This window comes from Homo sapiens, chromosome 21 (assembly GCF_000001405.40).
Source record: "Homo sapiens chromosome 21, GRCh38.p14 Primary Assembly".
NCBI classification, from domain to species: Eukaryota; Metazoa; Chordata; class Mammalia; order Primates; family Hominidae; genus Homo; species Homo sapiens.
Window position 1 is genome coordinate 42,442,379 of NC_000021.9, and position 20,860 is coordinate 42,463,238.

General features: G+C 50.5%; 1 protein-coding gene across 12 annotated transcripts in view; it reads left to right on the top strand.

Moving 5' to 3' along the window:
* UBASH3A (ubiquitin associated and SH3 domain containing A) overlaps positions 1 to 5,306 on the top strand; it is a 43,783-nt gene extending 38,477 nt beyond the window's left edge. For 6 of the 12 annotated variants that reach the window (XM_047440831.1, NM_018961.4, XM_047440833.1 and 3 more), the window contains 4 exons: positions 74 to 218; positions 934 to 1,040; positions 2,156 to 2,265; positions 4,679 to 5,306. In XM_047440831.1, the coding sequence (XP_047296787.1) occupies positions 74 to 218; positions 934 to 1,040; positions 2,156 to 2,265; positions 4,679 to 4,816 (500 nt within the window). In that variant the 3' untranslated portion in view covers positions 4,817 to 5,306. The other 6 variants (XM_047440834.1, XM_047440837.1, XM_047440832.1 and 3 more) reach the window with 5 other exon arrangements.

The following is a 20,860-nucleotide window of genomic DNA, read 5'->3' on the forward strand; positions in this document are numbered from 1 at the left end:
AAAAGGAGACTTATTTATGCAAAGTCAGGGTGGATGTTGAGGATGATAAACACTTGTATTCTGTTGAATCCAGAACTCAAACTGGAGAAAAAAATCAAGATACGAGTGGAACCTGGAATCTTTGAATGGACAAAATGGGAAGCTGGCAAAACCACCCCAACCCTCATGAGCCTGGAAGAGCTGAAAGAGGCAAATTTCAACATTGACACTGATTACAGGTATGCTGTTCTAAAGTTCTCTGCCACTGGGGCTTTTCCAGTTATTGTTAAAGAAAAATTTCATGACACTGTTAAAATGGTAAGAAAGACTTTATTCAAGAGGGACCACTGCAGTGGGGTTTTGCAGCAGGGGAGAGAGGTGGGGCTCAACTCCTAATACAAGGAAAAGAGGGGAGTTATAGCCACAGAGCAGGGTGGGGGTCAGTGGATGGAAAATTCCTGAGAAGGTGGGTCATTCTTGCTAAACTGACCTAAATGGAGACTCTTGCTGAAGGCAGGCCAAGGTGATCAGACATCACCTGGGGGGTGGTAGAGGATAAGGAACTTGATCAGATGTCGAAGGTAGGAGGTTCTTGCTAAACTCACTCTGCAAGAACAGACACAGAAGCCCAAGGGTCAAGACCTCATTGAGAAGAAGGTTCAGAGGAGCTGGACTGGAGTTTAGTCAAGGAGAGAGTCTTTGTCATTCTCCACCCATGTCTGACTCTGCCATCACAGAGCCCTCCTGGTGTTGAGTAAGAATGTGTGCTGGAGATTGACTGTCAGTGCTTTGCCAGTTTTCAGCACAAAACTGGAGCCTGCCTGTTGACCATGAGCCTGCCTTGAGGCAGAGCCATCCTGGAAGAACGTTCTCCTTCCCCAGCTAACTGCAGCTGAGCCTTCCTAATCCCTACGAAAGTGCCAGGGCAGCAGCCTCTCCTTCTCATCCTTCCAGGCCCGCGTTTCCCCTGTCCGCCCTCATGCCGGCCGAGAGCTACCAGGAGTACATGGACAGGTGCACGGCGAGCATGGTGCAAATCGTCAACACCTGTCCACAGGACAGTAAGTGCCTCACCATCCTCAGTATGAACAGCCCCTGGGGCTTGGGGAATTATCTCTGAGATGGAAATTGGCCAATTTTCTGAACCTATGAATGCCCCTACTTCTCCTGCCTGCCCCCGCCCCCATTCTCCAGCAACAAAGTTTTCATCACTGCTGCTGCTGCTGCAGTAACCGGGTGCACAGACACACACTCCCCTGCCGCCCAGGCCCTGGGACCCCCCATCCTGGGACTGAGTGCTGATGGGAGGGGAATGATCTCTGAGATGGAAATTGGCCGATTTTCTGAACCTATGAATGCCCCCACTTCCCCTGCCCGCCCCCCACCATTCTCCAGCAACAAAGTTTTCATCACTGCTGCTGCTGGTGCAGTAACCGGGTGCACAGACACACACTCCCCTGCCGCCCAGGCCCTGGAACCCCCCATCCTGGGACTGAATGCTGATGGGACCCAGGCCAGCAGGGTCACACAATCCACCCATGTCCAAGGGATTTGAGTCAGCTTCCTGGGAAACAAAAGAGACAGAGAGAGAAAGAACAACCAACTTCCAGGTGGCGCCCCCTTCCCTGACCCATCACACGGGTCTCCTAACCCTCCCGTGTTGCTTTGTCCTGGATGAAGCATGCACAGAAGCGCTGACTTCCCACGCCTTCCCCTGAGCTGGCAGGGACAAGCGTGTCTCCTGAGGGAGACCCACTCGGCCTGTGGTCTCCAGGTGTTCTTATCTAAAGCAGGAGTCGTAGCAGGCTCGTGTGACAAAATAACCGGCTGACCTTTCTAAAGTGAATCAGGTCTGGCTTGGGCGTCAGCCACCGCTACATCCCAGTCTGTGGCTGACGGGGCCCAGGCAGCCAGCGACCACAGGGGGTGGCTCAGCTCACTTCCTAGGCCTCCCTGAGGCTGGTGGGCAGCTGCTGCGTGCAGAGGAATCCATGAGCGAGGGTGGGACGCAGGCATCACTGAGCGGTTACCAGCCACACTACTTCTAGCCCGGGGGTCTCGCCAGGCTTCGGGGCACTCTGAGATAGCTCTGCCCCCCACCACTTTGGGGACCCCAGTCTAATAAAAGGTGCTCTCTGGGGCTGCTTTGACCTGGAGGTGTTCTTGTTTTCCACAGCGGGTGTCATCCTAATTGTGAGTCACGGCTCCACTCTGGACTCCTGCACGCGGCCACTGCTCGGGCTGCCGCCCCGGGAATGTGGGGATTTTGCCCAACTCGTGAGAAAGGTACGCGCCCACTCTTGGCTCTTTGGGCCACAAAATCAAGCATCCCGAAGACACAGGTTTATCTCATCCACTTCTCGGAATGAAAACAAGTGTCCGGCTGACCCAGGGCCACCAGGATCCACGTGCCCCCGGAGACTGTGCCCACCGGCTCTTATGCGAAGGGTGACTTCGGGCTGGGGCTGGTGGATAGGTCAGTCAACCTCATCATCATTGGCCACTTGCCAACTTTTTACCAGTCAGCTCATGCCATGACCCCTTGCAGCTCTCGTAGAAAAACAGACGGTCCAGGAAGGAGTAAGCAGTTTAGATGAGGAGGGAAGAAACGACTGTGGGACTCGATTCTGGCCTCTTCTGGGGACCTGGGGCAGGGCGGCTGATGGATGAAAAGGAGCCCCTTGATCCTCTTGCCCTTGGAGTCACCCAGCATGGAAGAAGCTTGAGCTGGTTGTAGCTGCCAGAGTGCTCAGGCTCTGGCAAGGGCCTTGTGAATGACAAACAGAGGATAACGCACACGTGACATCTTGGACAACCTTGATTATCACTCAGCAAAGCCAGAGGGTGATGTCCAGTCCATGGGTGAATTGAGGCAGGCAAACTCAGGAGTGCAGATCCCACCCCAGTCCCAGCCCTTCCCTGCAGATCTACTCAAGGCTGGACTCACCACAGTCCTGACCTTTTTATGAAATTCATCAGTCCACTGGTCAGTGCCCAGGCAGCACGTGCAGCATAGACAATGCCTGTCATCGGAGGTGCTTGAGGCCCTGACCTGGTTTCTTCACATAGCACTGCCACAGGACCACACTGGCCACAGCTTGTTTGCCATAAGTTGTGGGCAGCAGTGGGGGTTGCTGAGTCCCCCCAAGAGGTCAGGGGCTTCAGAGGAGCCCAACTCCCGGGCCCAGCCCAGTGACACCAGCCAGGTGCCTGCAGGAGGGCTTAGCTCTCTAGCTACGCCTGCCTCAGCAGCCAGATGAGAGGTTACGCACATGAAGAGCATGCCTGCCGTGGGTCATTGTCACTCAGCAATTAGGCATCAGACACCCGAATCTCCCTTTCTTGCTCCATTTTCCTCTGCACCTGAGTAGAAACATGCTTCCCCTGCAAAATGTCTCCAGGGTGGTGTGTCCCAATTATGATCCAGACATTTCCGAGCGCCCTGGATTCTTGAGCCACCAGGTGAGCATTGTCCAAATAGGGCAGCTCAACCCCCCTGGGCCACACTGGTAGAGGTCTGCATGGATTTTCCTGGGGACTGTCCGGGGCAGCCCCGGCACCACCTGCTCCCAAAATGTTGCTCTTGCTTCTGCAAATGGGTCTCCCACACATGCGCTCTGATGCATTCCTCCTGTCCCTGCCCCGCTTCCCACAGTCCCATATACACATACCAAGCCTCCAGCCCCAGGCGCTCCTGGGGGCCCACGTAACCAAGGGTGGCAGCACTGCACACACCAGCTGCTGACAGTTCCTCAAACCCATGAGCCTTTGTGGCCAAAGCTCCACCCACTCCTTGGACCCTTCACCCCCTTCCATAGATGCCAATCTTGAACTTCCAAACTCCTGGACTTTCTTATGCTGGTCACGTGGCGTTCACCCTGCCCCTACCCCAAAATAAGCTGGACTTGCTCATGCATATCAGAAAATACAAAGGGGGGGCTCTACCAAATGATGGGCCCCCAAATCAGGGCAGCTGGAAAGGGAGCACTCAGGACCCTCCCCGACCAGCCCATCACCGCCCCTCGCCCACAGCCTCTGCAAGCGTGAGGAAAGAATCACCCTAGGGTCAACACCAGCCTCACTCAGACCCCCCTGCCAGTTGGCATTTTTGTAAATTTCATCTGCCTGAGGAATTTCTAGACATTAGAAAGAGGAAGGAAAGAAAGAAAAGAAAAGACAAAAACAAAAAAGGCTTCACCACAAAGCTCTGTTCTCACACATCCATTTCACAGATGAAGGGATGGAGGTCTAAAGGTTCACTTTGTGCTTTTCTTTTGGGTCTGAAAACTCAATGTCTGTGTCTTTTTGTGATGCTGAATATGAGAATATGAGTCACTCCTTAAGTGGTGGATGGCAATCTCCACCTCAGCCTGCAGACCTTTGTGGTGGGGGCTGTTCTACTCATTGTAGGATGTACCACCTTGTAGGACCTCTACCTGCTAGGTGTCGGCAGCACCTCCATCCTCAGTTGTGACAATCAGAAATGTCTCCGGAATTACCCAGTGTCCCCTGGCTAGGGGACATCCCCCACGGGGCACCGCCAGGGCAGATGTTGGTGCCATTCAATGGTGGCAGTGCCAGCCTGGGCAGTCGCAGACCCTCCAAAGTAGAGGTGTGCCTGACAGTTGGCTTTGGAGCTAGTCTGAAATTGATGGACTTGCTATAAGATATTAACAAGTGATTTAAAACTCTGTTCCAGATCCCTTCCCTGGGCATGTGCTTCTGTGAAGAAAATAAAGAGGAAGGAAAATGGGAGTTGGTGAACCCACCGGTGAAGACCCTGACCCACGGGGCGAACGCAGCATTTAACTGGAGGAACTGGATCTCAGGCAACTGAGAGCCACGGTGATGTTGTCATAACCTCAGAGTGGAGAGGCAGAAACCATGTGCAGAGGCTGGGAGATGCTGCTGTTTCCAGAGGCGTCTTAGTCTCACCCAATGTGATTTGTAGAAGCACGAGACGCACTTTTATATCCCGGAATATTTCCCTCCGGCTTTCGCCTTTGTAACTCCCATCTGTGGACCCATCGTCCACCAGCCCAGCTGCGGGGAGCACAGGGCAGGTGGCTGGGTGAGGATGCCGCCCTGCAGCATGTACACCGAGTGTCTGCAGCTGGGGACACAACTGCCCGGGACTCTAACTTCCAGGAATTAAAGACTCACCACACACGAAGGATCTAACCACTTCATTTTCCATGGTCTAATCATTAAATTCCCAATCGTTTTTTCTTTTTCTGGGTCCATCACTCTTTAGCCATATCCACATGGGCTAAAACAGGTGTAATAGTCAATAAAATGGTCCCAGAAAACCATCGACCAGGTCAAAACTGGGTTGCTGCTCCGTGCTGTCAACATTCATGTTACTATGTCTCTGTGGTTGCTGTAACCAATGACCACAAACCTGGGGGTCATGGAAAGAACACAAACTTTACACACACACACACACACACACACACACAGGCACATACACACATGCACATATGCATACAAAGACAGGCACACACGAGCATGCACACACACAAACACGTGCACATACACATGCGCACACACATGCACACGCACATGCACACACACGCAGGTACACAAGCATGCAAACACACATACACATACAAACGCGTGCATGCATACATGCACACATGAGCACACAAACACATGCACACACTTGCACACATGCACACAAAGGCATACACATGCAATGCACACACACAAACACACATGCACACACAGGCACACACACGCTCACATGCACACACACACACGCTGACTCTCCTACGGTTCTGGAGGTTGGCATTTTCTCAGCAGGCTATGTTTCTTCTGGAGCCTCCAGGGGAGGATCCTTGCCTTTTCTCACTTTTAGAGGCCACCTGCATCCTCCCTCCTCAAGTACAGCGGCGTAGCAGCCTCCAAGCTCTCTCAGTCTCTGCCTTCACAGCCACATCGCCTTCTGCTTCTGACTCTCCTGCCTCCCTCCTACAAGGGCCCTTGTGTTGACACTGGGCCCACCCAATAACCCAGGATCAATTCTCATCTCAAGAGCCTTAACCACACATGCAAAGTCCCTTTTGCCACATAAAGTTGCATATTCCCAGGTCCCGGGGATTAGGACATGAACATCTTTGGGGGTTATCCTGTAGCCTGCCATAACATACCCCAATCCTTCCAAGCACAGCGGAGCTGCCCGTACAGGGCCTCGGACATAGGGATTTGAGACACTCCCCTTGCAGGCCTTTTTTGGCTTCTCCTATTCTTGTTTCTGATCACGTAGAGGAGAGAAGAGGACTTTGCCAGTGGGAGAAGTAGGCTCCCCCGATTTAATGGGGCCCCAAAAGAAGGGCCACGAGCAAAGTGGAGTCTGTCCATGATGGTGATGCTGAGGAAGCTGGTCCAGCAGGGGATGGGGTCTCCCCAGTGGGGAGTCTCATGCCCCAGCCCACAGGTCACACCTGCTCCCACAGCCCACACATGTGGTGCCTCATGCTGCAGGCAGAGATCCCAGCACGGTGTAGTGACAGTCCATCGGTCTTTCATCTCTTCTAGCCCCCTGATCCAGTGCAGGTGTTATTTCATGATTGCAGTTTGGGGCTGTGGTGGTGGCTCTGTGAGTGCCTTTTATAGTGTGAATGCAGAGACAGGGCAGGAAGGACCCATGCTGCACCCTCAGCCTCCCCTGTGAGCACCCAGGCAAGTGGAGGGCAGAACACAAAGGGAGCTCTTGTAGAAATAAAGATGGTGAACACCCCGGGCTGTGACAAAAACGGCCCACATTGTGTAGAATGCACAGGAGGCCAGACCCAATAAAAGTTTCCTTGCTGTTTTAGTCAATCAAACACGACCTCCTGAGAAAAAGACGCATCTGTCTGTCCCTTGTTTTATTTCACTAATGATGTAGTTTTTCTGTGTCCAAACATAAAGAAGTTTGAAGTTGACACAGCCACAGAGAGCAGAGCATGCACCCCACTCACAGGCCTGCTTCGAGTCCAGGCCATACCGAAATGACGTCTTCAGGGAGATTGTTCTAGACGCATCCCAGCAGATACCGACTAGAGAAGAGATGGATTCACTGGGATGTAGGTGGCTGGGCAGTACGTCCTGCAACAAATACACCCCACCGCTGGGCACCTGGGTGGTTGTTCTTTCTCCTCGGCAAGTGTGTGGTTGGGTCCAAGTCCCTCCTGGATACCACAGTGCCACGCTCGCTAATCATGATGATGAATTAAAGTGCTGCAAGTCAAGGTATGGCATTGAAATCACAGTCACGTGTTCAGGTGGTCTGTAATGAATCTCTGGATTCACCTTCTCAGGGGTGAAGCTTCCAGGTCCTCCACCCTGGGCAAAGCCAGACACAGGTAATTCCCCTCTCATCCTGCTGGGCTGCTCACAGGTTTTGCAAGGAGAATGAGATGGGTTTGAAACTCAGATCTCCAGATCTCCAGATCTAGTGTGCAAGAAATAGCATTTTCTCGATATTCTATGCTTCTGGTTCTGTCAGACCCTCATTCCACCCCCAAGGCAGAGGACCCCAGTTCAGTGGTTCTGTTCCTCCAGAAGGAACCATTCGCTGTATGGACTGAGCCTTGCGGACAGAGCTGGGCTGGAAAAGGGCAGAGACGGAAATGCCTGGTGGGATTATCATGATTGGGTGTAAACTGTCTACTCTATGAACCAATAGGAAATCCCAAAAAAAGAAAACAAAAGACACTCTTTTTTCCTTCCTCTCCCTGGGTGGGTCGCTTTGGTGTTTGTGAGCCAAGTCTGACCCCTGCTGACACCGTCTGGAAGTGGACGTCCTGTCACCAACGCCATCCCAACCCATGCCCCACCCACATTCTCTTGTTGACTTCCTCACTGTGTGCTTGAAAAAAAAAACAAGCCTGGGCCAGGCATGGTGACTCATGCCTGTAATCCTGGCACTTTGGGAGGCCAAGGCGGGCAGATCACGAGGCCAGGAGATCGACACCACCCTGGCCAACATGGTGAAACCCCGTCTCTACTACAATACAAAAACGTAGCCAGGCGTGGTGGCGCATACCTGTAGTTCCAGCTACTCAGGAGGCTGAGGCAGGGGAATCGCTTGAACCAGGGAGGCGGAGGTTGGAGCAAGCCGAGATCGCGCCACTGCACTCCAGCCTGGCGACAGAGCAAGACTCCGTCTCAAAAAAAAAAAAAAAGAAAAAGAAAAAAACAAGCCTGAAAGGGAATTCTACCAGCGTTCCCTGAGGCTGAGCGGATGACAATGTTGTTTTGCAGCTTAATGTTCCCCTCCGAGACCTGGTTCTTTGGAAAGATGGAAAGTGGTGAGAAGGGGGCGGAGCCGGCCTCAAGCTGGGCAGCCAAGGGGGCCAAAGGCCTAAGCCAGTGCCTGTCTCCAGGCTGCAGCCTGTGGTGCTGAAGAGCTTAAGGACAGGCCTGGGACCACCAAGCCAAGCACTGGCCCTGGCAAACACTGCTGCACTCGTCTAAGAAGAAAGAGCTATCATAACCGTCCACCAAAGTACATCTTATTTTAGAACCAAATTTGAGACTTTTTTAAACGTGATTCATATTGGTGCATATTATGGGCTGAGTTGAATGCTCCCTCCCCCACCCAAATTCAACCAGCCAACAATTCTGCAAGGATCAGAAGTCGGAAGAAAGGAAAATGGCAGCATCGAATGCACAGCCACAAATCCCAAGAAGGCCCCAGGAGCCTGGGAGTGGCTGCGGAGGAATTTAGGGCTGGATGGCCCACAGGACATGGTGAGAACCACTACCATGGGCTGAATTGTGTCCCCCTGAAAAGCTATGTTGGAGACTGATATGGTTTGGTTCTGTGTCCCCACCCAAATCTCATGTTGAATTGTAATCCCCAGTGTTGGGGGAGGGACCCTAACCCTAACCCTATAAACATGGTATTTTTTATATCCTCATATCCTCATACCATATTTAAACCTATGGTAAGCACCTGCTCTTCCACAGGAACAGCAGATAACTGGAAATCTTAGAGGCCTTCCCAGAACTGGGGTTCATCAGAACATGGGTGGCTCCTGACCCATCACTCCCAGACCCAGAGCTTATGCACCATAGGGGAGAGGTGGTTCAGAAGGGATGTGCAGGACAACTAAAGTACAGTAACATCGAGGTCGCTTGACCTGAGGGCAGGACCTATGGTAAGTACCTGCTTTTATGTAGGTATATACAGTAAAGGGAGCAGTCATAGCAGTGGGGGAAGGAAGGTGATTAAATAAATGACACTGGGACAACTGGATCACATTTGGGGAAAAGAAGGTTGGAATCACTCCTCATTCCTCATACCAAAAAAAAACATCAAAGATTTAAATATTTAAAAAAAAAGAAATCATGGGCCGGGCGCAGTGGCTCACGCCTATAATCCCAGCACTTGGGAGGCCAAGGCAGGTGGATCACTTGAGGTCAGGAGTTCGAGACCAGCCTGGCCAATGTGGTGAAACCCTATCTCTACTAAAAATACAAAAATTAGCCAGGCATGGTGGCAGGCACCTGTAATCCCAGCTACTCAGGAGGCTGAGGCAGGAGAATCACTTGAACCTGGGAGGCGGAGGTTGCAGTGGGCCGAGATCACACCACTGCACTCCAGTCTGGGCGGCAGAGTGAGACTCCATCTCAAAATAAATAAATAAATAAAAATAAAAACTATCATAGAGTTAAAAAGTAAAAGGTAAGCTGGGAAAGCTCTGTGCTTCTCATGCCGCCCAGTTCCAGCCCACCCCCTCCAGGAAGCCCTCCTGGCCGCCAGCCCACCTTGCTGCCCCTGAATCCCAGCTCAGGCGTCCTCTGCACAATTCATGTCAGTCGTGTCTGCCTTGTCCTGTTGTTGCGGTCTCTCATCGTCTTGTCTGTCACTCCTTCCCAGGGGTTGCAATAGTGACCGTGTGCCGGGCTTCCAGGCAGCCCCAAGTCCAGTGGGACCAGTGACCCCCCTGCAAAGCTTCTCTGCTCCTATAGGCCAGGATTTCCCAGCCTTGGCACTATTGACATTTGGGGCCAGATACATCTTTGTCAGAGGACGCCCTGTGCATTGTGGGATGTCCAGCAGCATCCCTGGCCCTCCCCTACTGAAGCAGCAGTACGTCCCTCACCCCAGCCCACCAGTTGTGATAAACAAAGATGTCTCCACATGCTGCCAAATGTCCCTGGGGGAGCAGGATCATCCCCAGCTGAGAAGTACCGATGTATTCCCTTCACAGGTCTGCATGGAACCCTGGCCTCAGGGCTCCCACCAGGGCACTCAGGCATAGCGCGAATGGGCACAGGTGTGTTAGGAGTCTGGAGTCGCACATGTGCACTCCTGCTGAGCAGACAGACCTTTATGGAGACGAAGGTTGGAAAGGAATCGGTGCACATCTCGAGCTGAACACTTGTGTGATGCTGCTACGGAGGAAGTCCGAGCAGAACTGGAACTTTGCGGACACTGCCCCTGGACGTAGGTGTGGGCCTGGGCAGGGGGAGCCACGCGGAGGTGCGACCAAGTCCTGCACGGACCTCACTGCCTCCGTGTGATGTGGTGGCTGTGCTGTGAGGGCAGCTGAGCCCTGTGTCCAGCCTCGTAGTCCTCTTGGCTGGCCCCACACTCAAATTCTAGAACATTTAAGTGCAGTGCACCGTGGACACCACGAGGCTCCACACTGTTGGACTCCAGTCCTTTAGCCCAGCTGGGAGCAGCCCTGACACAATAATTCTTCAACAGAGGCTTCTCCTTAACCCTGTCTCATGCTTCTCCTCTCCCCTCATCCCCAAGGCCGACAGATGGTGGCTGCACACACATTCAGGAGATTGCAGGAAATAATTTCCAACAGCAAATGAGACATTAATTATTCAATGCAGATAAACATCAACAACAGCGCTTCATCCAAAGGAATTCCACTGGGATCCAGGGGCTCTGAGTTGGAGCCCAGTTCGGTCCTCTACTCATGGTGACCTCAGACACAGTCTCTGTGTCTCGGGCTCACTGCTGTAAAATCATGCGGCCTGTCGATGGGTCCATGTCACTTGCAGCATCTTAGTCCTCATTCTGGAGGACACGTGCCCTCTTAGCAGTGAGCCCTGGAGGGGCTGACTCGCAGTGTCTGCTGTGTTTTCCAGTTTCCATGATGTAAATGCACCAGGGCTGATTCTGGGCTGCCAGTGTTTTGACAATTGATTTGCAGACTGCGTGAAAATTTAAAACTCAGCTCTCTTGAGCTGATATGAGCCACCCCAGCCCACCCCTGCAGCAGGCACGAACGTTAGTTTGCAGGGAGAGGCCAGCTGAGCTGCTGCACAGACCTGCTGGGATCATCACAGCTGTGCGCTTCAGGCCAGTGCCTCTTCCTGTAAAAGGAAACAACATTCTCTCTACAGAGGATGGAAGGACAGAAGGGCTGAGGCCCATGTGCAGGCGGGGTCAGGAGAGAGAGGAGGCCAAGTCCCTGGGTCTAGGAAAGACGGGTGGGTGGAGCCAGGCCAGGGGCACTAAGTGGAACGCTGTCTGCTCCCTGCGGAGCACTGGACAGACTTTTGGTTCCAGGGATTCATCCCGAGCTGTGTCTCTTCCGGGATCCTTGGCCAGCAGCGACTCTGGCACCTGGAGCACACCTGAAGAGAGCCCCCAAGCTCTCGCCTCTCTCCAGCCCTGCTATCCAACCAGATGTTCCCACTCCTGCTCCTCCCTGCCTCATCGCCTCAGCCGCCCGGGGTGAGCCACCTACTCTCCCAAGGCAAGACACAGCCGGCATGCTTCACACACTCACCTTGAAGTTCAGGGTTGGAAGGTCAGTCCATCCAGCTGAAGTTCACTGCTAGAGATGTAATTGAATCAGCCCTGGCAGGAGCATTTGGACCACAGGAATAGGTAAACACGGCTGCGAGTCAGCCCCTCCAGGGCTCACTGCTAAGAGGGCACATCGTGTCCTCCAGAATGAGGACTAAGATGCTGCAAGTGACGTGGACCCATCGACAGGCCACATGATTTTACAACGGTGGGCCCGAGGCACAGAGACTCTGTCCGAGGTCACCATGAGTAGAGGACGGAACTGAGCTTTAACTCAGATCCCAGTGGAATTCCTTCGGATGAAGCGCTGCTGTTGTTTATCAGCATTGAATAACTAATGTCTCATTTGCTGTTGGAAATTATTTCCTGCAATCTCCTGAATGTGTGTGCAGCCGCTGTCTGCCGGCGCGTGGGGGGTTCTTCATGAAAAGTGAGAGGGGTCCAGCTGTGTGAAAGGCCTTTGCAAATTGCCACAGCAAACTCCCAGAATTATGATGTACTTCTTCCTGTGTGGTTCCAAGTAAATGCCACTTCCGGCTGTCCAGTACCATTTTTTCCTAGGACTTAAGGCCACAAAAATGGATTAAGAAACACACATGTATACATGCAATCTTCCTGGTGAAGTCTTCAAACAAAGTTCTCCAAGAAGTCATTAAAAAATTAATCATCTGGAAATGTCATGTTTCTCCTTCTCTCTCCAAAATGTATTTCTTTCAACCATTAACTCATTCTCTTTCATTGTGTCCCATAGTGAGACAAAACTGTGTTAGGACAATAAACCAAGCAATTTTCCAAAGAAGCTATAGCACGAAAGCAACGTAAATCCCGAAGGAGAAACGCCTGCGAATGAGCTCACCGAAGGCACACTCTCCTCCCAGGAGCCTCCCCGGAGAGGCAGCCCGTTTATTTGAGTTAGTGATTTTGGAAGACACACTGCACTTTCTTTGCCTCCAGCTATCCTTGAGCCATTTTGTTCTCCTTGCGAGGTACTGATAGCACTTATTATCTAGAAAATATAACCAGACTTTGAGGAGAGGCAAGGGGCCCTATAAATTATTTATTTTTTTGCTTCTCAAACTCTGGACCGAGGACCAGGATTACAGGCATTGCCTGGAAGCTTGTTACAAATGCAGGGCCTCAGGCACCCCCGTCTCCGTGTCAGCAGCTGTGTCTTAGCAGGATCCCCAGGGCATTGCCTCACAGTCAGGGTGGTGCAAAAGTCCCGCCTGGCATCCTGGTGAGTGGACCAGGAGGGGGCAGGTGAAGGCGATATTATTGGTCCTTCGACTCCAGACAAGAACTTGCAGCTTAGCCTGAGGAAAGAAATTAGCCCATATGATGAAACACAATCTGATGACGTAAGGATTTTTGTACTTATGCCCACATGTTTAGACATGGCAGCCCGCATCCTCTTAAACCTGAACTTTAACATACCGTGACTTAGAGCCACAAACAACAAAACAGAGGGCAGGAACCAGAGTTCTCCAGAGAAACAGCCAGTGGGAAACAGGACCCACATCCATACGGATACAAACATACAGATACAGGCTGGGAGAGGGAAGGAGAGAGGGGCATTGGCTCACACTCTTACAGAAGCTGAGAAGCCCCACGATCTGCGGGAGCTGTTGGCCTCCCGTCTGGAGGCCAGTAGGCTCGAGACCCAGAGAGAATCGATGTTTTCATTCAAGTCCAATGGCAGGAAAAAGCCAATGCCTCAGTTCAAAGGCCGTCAGACATGAGGAGTTTCCTCTTAGCCTTTTGTTCCATTCAGACCTTCAACTGATTGGATGAGGCCCACCCACCCTGGGGAGGGCCGTTTGCTTGACAGTCTCCTGATTCGAATGTTCGTCTCATTCAGAAACCTCCTCACACACCCCCAGAGTGACACTGGGTCAAAACGTCTTTGCACCCTGCAGTCCAGTCAAATTCACATGTGCAGTTGAGCTTCACATTGGGCATTTCTGCCCTGGTAATGTCCTCCCATTACCAAAAACCTGGTATTTGTCCTTCTTTTCAGTGGGTTTCACAGCCCAGCAGCAGCTGGCCCTCTTGTAGAGCAGCAGTTCCCAGCCTTTTGGCACCAGGGACAAGTGTCGTGGAAGAAAATTTTTCCACAAACCAGGGTGGGGTGGGGGTGGGGAATGGTTTTGAGATGATTCAAGTGCAATTACATTTATTGTGCACACTTTATTTCTATTATCACGTTGTAATATATAATAAAATAATTATACAACTCACCATAATGTAGAATCAGTGGGAGCCCTGAGCTTGTTTTCCTGCAACTAGACAGTCCCATCTGGGGGTGATGGGAGACAGTGACAGATAATCAAGCATTAGATTCTCATAAGGAGCTCACAACCCAGATCCCTCACATGCACAGTTCACAGTAGCGTTCACAGTCCTATGAGACTAATGCCACCACTCATCTGACAGGAAGCGGAGCTCAGGCAGTAATGAGAGCAATGGGGAGTGGCTGTAGATACAGACGAAGCTTCACTTACTCATCCACCCACTGCTCATCTCCTGTTGTGCAGCCTGGTTCCCAACAGGGGTTGGAGGCCTCTGTTACAGAGGACCCTCTCCTGACCGCCAATGAGACCCATGAGCTCACCGTCTTGTCTGCCCTTCCACAGCCCACGCTCCCTCCTCAGCCCACGCCCCCTCCTCAGCCCACACTCCCTCCTCAGGCTCAGCACTGGGAAGAGTTCGTCCTTCCTCACCTCAGCCCTCAAGTGTGGAGTCCGGCGCCTCAGTCATCCACTCAACAGACATTTATGAGGGAATGTTTGGGTGCCATTAACACTGCTGGGAAAGCAGCAGTGGATCAGATACAAGCTCACTCTCAAAGAGCTTATATTTCAGTGGAAGGTGGTGAGCAATGGACTAATAAGCCAGTGAACACGTAACACCTCCTCTGCCAATACGTGAGGTGAAGAGAAGACAGCAGAGAGGGGGACAGAGGCGGAATACAAATGTTATGTTAGCAGTGAACAATCAGTAAGTAAAATAAAAACATCACTTATAGTAGCATAAAGAAACCAGAAGCAAAAGAGGATGTACTGCATGATTCAATTTATATACAACTATTTAGAGACAAATCCAATCTGTGGTGACAGAAAGCAGCACATCAGACGCTTAATGCTGGGAGTAGGGGAATGGATTGCAAATGGGCACGAAGATATTTTCAGGCTGACGGGAATCTGTGTGCTGATTGTAGGGTGGTATATTAGTCTGTTCTCACGCTGCTAATAAAGACATACCTGAGACTGGACAATTTATAAAGGAAAGAGGTTTAATGGACTCACAGTTCCACATGGCTGGGGAGGCCTTATAATTATGGCAGAAGACGAAAGGCACATCATACATGGCAGCAGGCAAGACAGAGAATGAGAGCCAAGCGAAAGCAGAAGCCCCTTATAAAAATCATCAGATCTTGCAAGCCTCATTCACTACCACGAGAACAGTATGGGGAAAACTGCCCCCACAATTCACTTATCTCCCACCAGGTCCCTCCCCAACATGTGGGAATTATGGGAGCTACAATTCAAGATGAGATTTGGGTGGGGACACAGCCAAACCATATTAGGTGGTCACATGGTTGCCTACATTTGTCCAAACTCATTGAACTGTTCACTTAAAATGGATGTTTTACTGTCTACAAAATATACTTCAAGAAAGCTGATATAACATGTTTTTAATTTTTTAATTAGATTGGGATATTAGGCTACTGGTACCAATGCCCAAGGGCTTCCCGTGGGCCCCACGGAGGGCCAGCTCTTGTCACACCCACCGGGTGAGGCACAGAGAGGCCAGTGTTCCCTGAACCCATAGCCAATGGCAACTGATAGAGCACTTTACATATATCTTTATGATGGTTAGGGTATTTGGATGATTCTGTTAATTTCTGAGTTGTCTACATTTTGGGGCGTTGGTTGAAAGCGACACTCTTACCATGTTCGCACAACACAGGAGCCAGATTTCGAAGTGGCACAGGCAGTCTAGGGTTGTAATTACATGAGCTCAGGTTGGTTCCTCCGTCCCTTAGCCACCAACCCCCTTCCAGTCCCTCTTCCACATACCTCTCTTCATTCTGCGCTGTATTATTATTATTATTATTATTATTATTATTATTAAAGATGGAGTCTCACTCTGTTGCCCAGGCTGGAGTGCAGTGGCATGATCTCCGCTTACTGCAAGCTCCGCCTCCCAGGTTCACACCATTCTCCTGCCTCAGCCTCCCGAGTAGCTGGGACTACAGGCACCCACCACCACACCCGGCTAATTTTTTGTATTTTTAGTAGAGACGGGGTTTCACCATGTTAGCCAGGATGGTCTCAATCTCCTGACCTCCTGATCCACCCAACTTGGCCTCCCAAAGTGCTGGGATTACAGGCATGAGCCACCACACCTGGCTGCTGTATTATTATTTACTCACATACATATCTTGCCATGACGTTGCAGGGATGCAACATGAGTTTACTACTCCATGCTCCTTCCACATAGCCACCCCCACTCCTGCCCAAGCCTGACTCCATACGCAGTGTTTGATCATAGTCCCCATTCCATAAACTGTGGTCATATTAAAAGTGAATAAAATAATCCCCAGAGTTTAGTTGTGTATCATTCTATTTCAATAGTTGTTTTTATTGTGGTGGTAAAACTAATATAACCTAGTTATAACACTCTTTATGATATTAATATAGCCTCTAATCTGTCAAAGTTTCTAATTTTGTGGGCACTCCTTTTTATTGTATTTGCAAAAAGCAGTAAAATCCGGGAATGCAGTGTACTCTTGTTCCCGGACCAGGCTGAGTGTCGGGCAGCTATTTCTTGTGGCCCAATAATGAGATGCAGATGAACTGGGGAGGAGGAGAGTTTTTATTTCTGAAACCAGTTACAGGGAGAAGGCCTGGAAATTATCACTAGACCAACTCAAAATTACAAAGTTTTCCAGAGCTTGTATACCTTCTAAGCTCTATGTCTACATGTAAGTGTGCATTCATCTGAAGACTTAAGTGATTAACTTATTTTAATCTGTAACTAATGTCTGAGTCCTGAAGACCTTCCTCTGCAGCCTCAGTAAATTTACTTATCTAAATGAGTCCAGGTGCTGGGGTGATTACCCTTATCTTGACTTCTGCTAAATCTTGGAGGTCTGGGGAGTTCCTTCAGACTTCCAATAAACTTGTTTGTGGAAGCCTGGGGAGTTTTTTAACCCCAGTAAAACTTGTTTAATCCTAAATGGGTCCTGTTAAGAATTCTTTCATTATTTTGTCATGCGTTAAGGCCCAGGAAAGGCCTGGGCAAAACCCTTGGTGGGCTTTTGTTACATTTCAGCCTTTGTATAGGGGCACTGGCTTTTCTTAGCTTTTAATATTTAACTTAACTACTCGGTCAGTACTGAAGCAGTTGTTATGGAGGCCTGCGTTAGTGAAACCTGGCCTTCCACACTCTGTTTTACATACTCTTACAAATCCAAGTTCTAGAAAATTGTTTTCAAATAAATTTATCTTACGCAGCAGCTGTGTTCTGGATTGCAAGTGGATAAAATGAAACTGAGTGGATTTAACCATGCAGCACCAATAACTACCAGGTAGGGGCTTCCCACGTGGAGGTGTCAAACGAAGTTCGTTCCCTGCACTCCCTCATGCAATCCTCAAGGCAACATGTGAGATTTGCAATGAAGAAATTATACAACACGCAGAGATCACAGAGCTAGCTAACTGTGACGCTGATGTAACCTGGAAGTTACCAGTCTTTGAACTGGACGACTGTTACACTGAGCCGTGAAAGCTGATGGTTCTCAAAATGTGGCCCCTGGACTAGCAGCACCTGTCCCCACTGGAAACTTGCTGCAAATGCACATGCTCAGGCGTGGATCCGAAATTTGGGATGGGGCCCAGCCATCTGTGATTGGACAGGTTCTCCAGGTGATTCTGATGCAGCTCAACCTGAGAATCATTTCTCTTGGGGAAGTGGCTTTGTGGAGGAATGCCACTACAGATCCAATACAAAGAATGGCCCTGGGAGGTTGGCAGTCAGGTGTTCAGGTCAGGTTTCCTCAAAGGCAAGACTCCTATATGACAGGAAGATGATCCTGCGACTTCATAACTACAGATGTGTGTGTGTATATGTATCTATGTGTGTGTGTCTATGCCATTTGTATACACGTGTTTTTTTTTTTTCTTCCTACAATGTGATGAAGAATCAAATTGCAGGCTCTTCATCCACAGAAATTCCCCCTTGTGATCTGAGGCTCTGCCGAGCAGTGGCCCCTCCCCAAAGCAGCCCCAGTTCTCCACTTCCCTCCTGGCCCCCACCCTTGATCATGGCTCCTGAGCATTTTGGGTTTTGTCCAGGGGCTCACTAAGAGCTCTGAGTAGGAAGTTCTCGCTACAAAGATTCAGCTGTGGGCGAAAACCGTATCATTTCCCCAGGTGACGTGGGGTGTGAGGGCAGGGCTGGAGTGCCCCGGGTTCACTGGGGAGCTGCAGAGACTATCACTTGCCTTCCAGGAACCCTTACCGTGTGCCAGCTTCCACAGGACTGTGGTGGAAATGTGGTCAAGGTCTTAGGAGCAGGCCACACAGGGATGGTTCATGCACTGAGGGAGGGGTGTGGAGCCTCTGATTCTGATGGGACTCCCAGGGGTGCTCACAATGGCAAATGGGCTGCTGTTACCTCCTAGCACTGGACTCTGGGTCACCCGCAAGTGTAGGTCACTTCCTTGCTGGTCAGTAATGGGGCACAAGTCACCACAGCAGGCGCCGCTCCTGAAACTCTCTTCAGGGATAGCACGGGCGGAAGTGCAGGCAGCAGGCAGAGCGTGGAGGTCCGTGTGGTGCTCAGTCACTATGGCAACTAGAGATCACAGAGCCACAGTCACCATCCCCCTAGGGCACCTGCCCAGGGAAAAGGAGAAATGTAAAACCACAAGCATACAATTAAGAACAGGTGCAGAGACCCAGCGGCTTCCAGGGCAGCTTTGAAGGGATCCCTCATCTCTCTGGTCCCAGGACATCTGTGCCAAGGGCCAAGCATGGGCCTGATTATAAGGAGCAGCACTGAGGTTCCGATTAAATGCTCAACCCTGCCTGATCTCTTACCAGGAAAGGGTGTGATATGTCCCCACCCAAATCTCATGTTCAATTGTAATCCCAAGTATTGGAGGTGGGGCCTGGTGGGAGGTGACTGGATCATGGGGGTGGATTTCCACCTTGCTCTTCTCGTGATAGAATTCTCACGAGATCTGGTTTCAAAGTGTGTGGCACCTCCTCCTTCTCTCTCTTCCTCCTGCCCTGATCTTGTAAGAGGTGCCTGCTTCCCTGTCGCCTTGCGCCATGATTGTAAGTTTCCTGAGGCCTTCCCAGCCATGCTTCCTATACAGCCTGCAGATCCCTGAGTCAATTAAACCTCTTTTCTTTATAAATTACCCAGTCTCAGGTAGTTCTTTACAGCAGTACAAGAACAGACTAATACAAGGTGTCCATGGGGAAAGACACATGGAGAGATTTGGGCAGAGAAGAAAGAGAGGCTGGAAATTTGGAGCTGCCAATTCCCCTGAACCCCTGTTGTCTACAGAGGCAGCTCCCCTTTGCTCTCCCTTCTCTTTCTCCCCTCCTCTCTCCTCCTTTCACCTCCCATCCCCCATGGAACCCAACACTCCTCTATTAAAAAGCCTTGCAATGACTGCACCTGGGGAAGTTGCCTCCTGAGCTGATGCCACTTCCCCAGGACCCACATCACACCTCTCATTGCCTCCAGTCCCAGAAAACAGTTGAGACCATCAGAGGCAGGGTGAGGAGGGCCCAAGACCCCCCTGGGAGGAGATTGCCTCAACATGGAGCTGCAGGTCCACTCTAGCAGGTAGCAGCTAGAGCCTGGGAGCAAGTGTGGGGTGGAGTCTGACAGTGCCTGCCCCACATGGAAGAGAGCGAGCCTGGATTAGGCTGGGTTTCAGGGTTTAATATGTTGGCTCAACCCCTGAGAAAGTGGTTAATAATCCTCCAGGTTGGCTAATTGGACAAAGTTAATGAGATTGAAAAGCTTGAAATCCTGGCACGCTCTAGAGAACAGAGCTCAAAGACTCAAGGAAATAGAAATGTAGAAAGGTGCCTACTATTTGCAACTGACTCAGACCTTCCCTAATATGCTTCTTCCCCAAGGGGCCCGGAGGAAGAGAGGAAATGCATTGGTGAGTCCTTCACCAGCTCTGTGGGCCGTCCTCTGTGGGCTGGAGGCAGCGCCACTCTAAGCACCAGAGTAGGGGCGGCTCTTAACCATCAGAGACAAGGCAGGTCTCAATGCCCCAAGGAGCGAGGGATCGCAGGTAACAGTATTTTGACCCATAATTGTCTATGGCAATGGGTCCTTGGTCACAGGCACCCCAGACATGAGACAGAGACCTACTAAGTGCTGCTTGACATATTTAGGTGGGGAAAGCCCAGGTCTGCTAGGAAGAATCCTGCCTCATGGCTAAATCCCAGGTACCAGACTTAAGGCGGTTTGCCACCTTTATCACAGGGTTCCAACATGAGGGCCCTTGAACTCTCCTATGGCGAGAGGCCATCTGTTTCCTGCTGGGATCCTGACTGAGAGGATGGTGCCTTCACAGACCTCACATTTCAGTGAGGGGGAGGGTCAGCACAAAGGTAATTATGCAAATTAACACAGCAGGAAGTTCTCCTTATCAGGAGATAAACAGTACAAAGTCATGCACAGCATATCCTGTTAAACCAAAATACAAAGTAAATAGTGAGAAGTAGGGTTTGATTTAGAGTCTATCTTGATCAATTAAAAATTATGAACATTGGTCCATTTTACCTTGTATTTTGAAAAGGTAAATTAGGCAAAATTGCAACTATGCCCAAATTCTTAAAATAATAGTAAGTCAACATTAATGGTGGCAGTAGAGTTCTTATACATTTTCTGACTATGTTTTATGATAGCAGAACGCAACATTTTTAACTTCATGTTTGACTTAATACATCATGTGTTCAGCAAAAGAGTCATTTTTACAAAAATATGTATGGCCTTTAATTTTCCCAAGAGCTCTTCATCATCCTTTGAATTAAATTATTTGTTTTGTCAGGGCTGGTTTGTTTCTGTTTGTTTGTT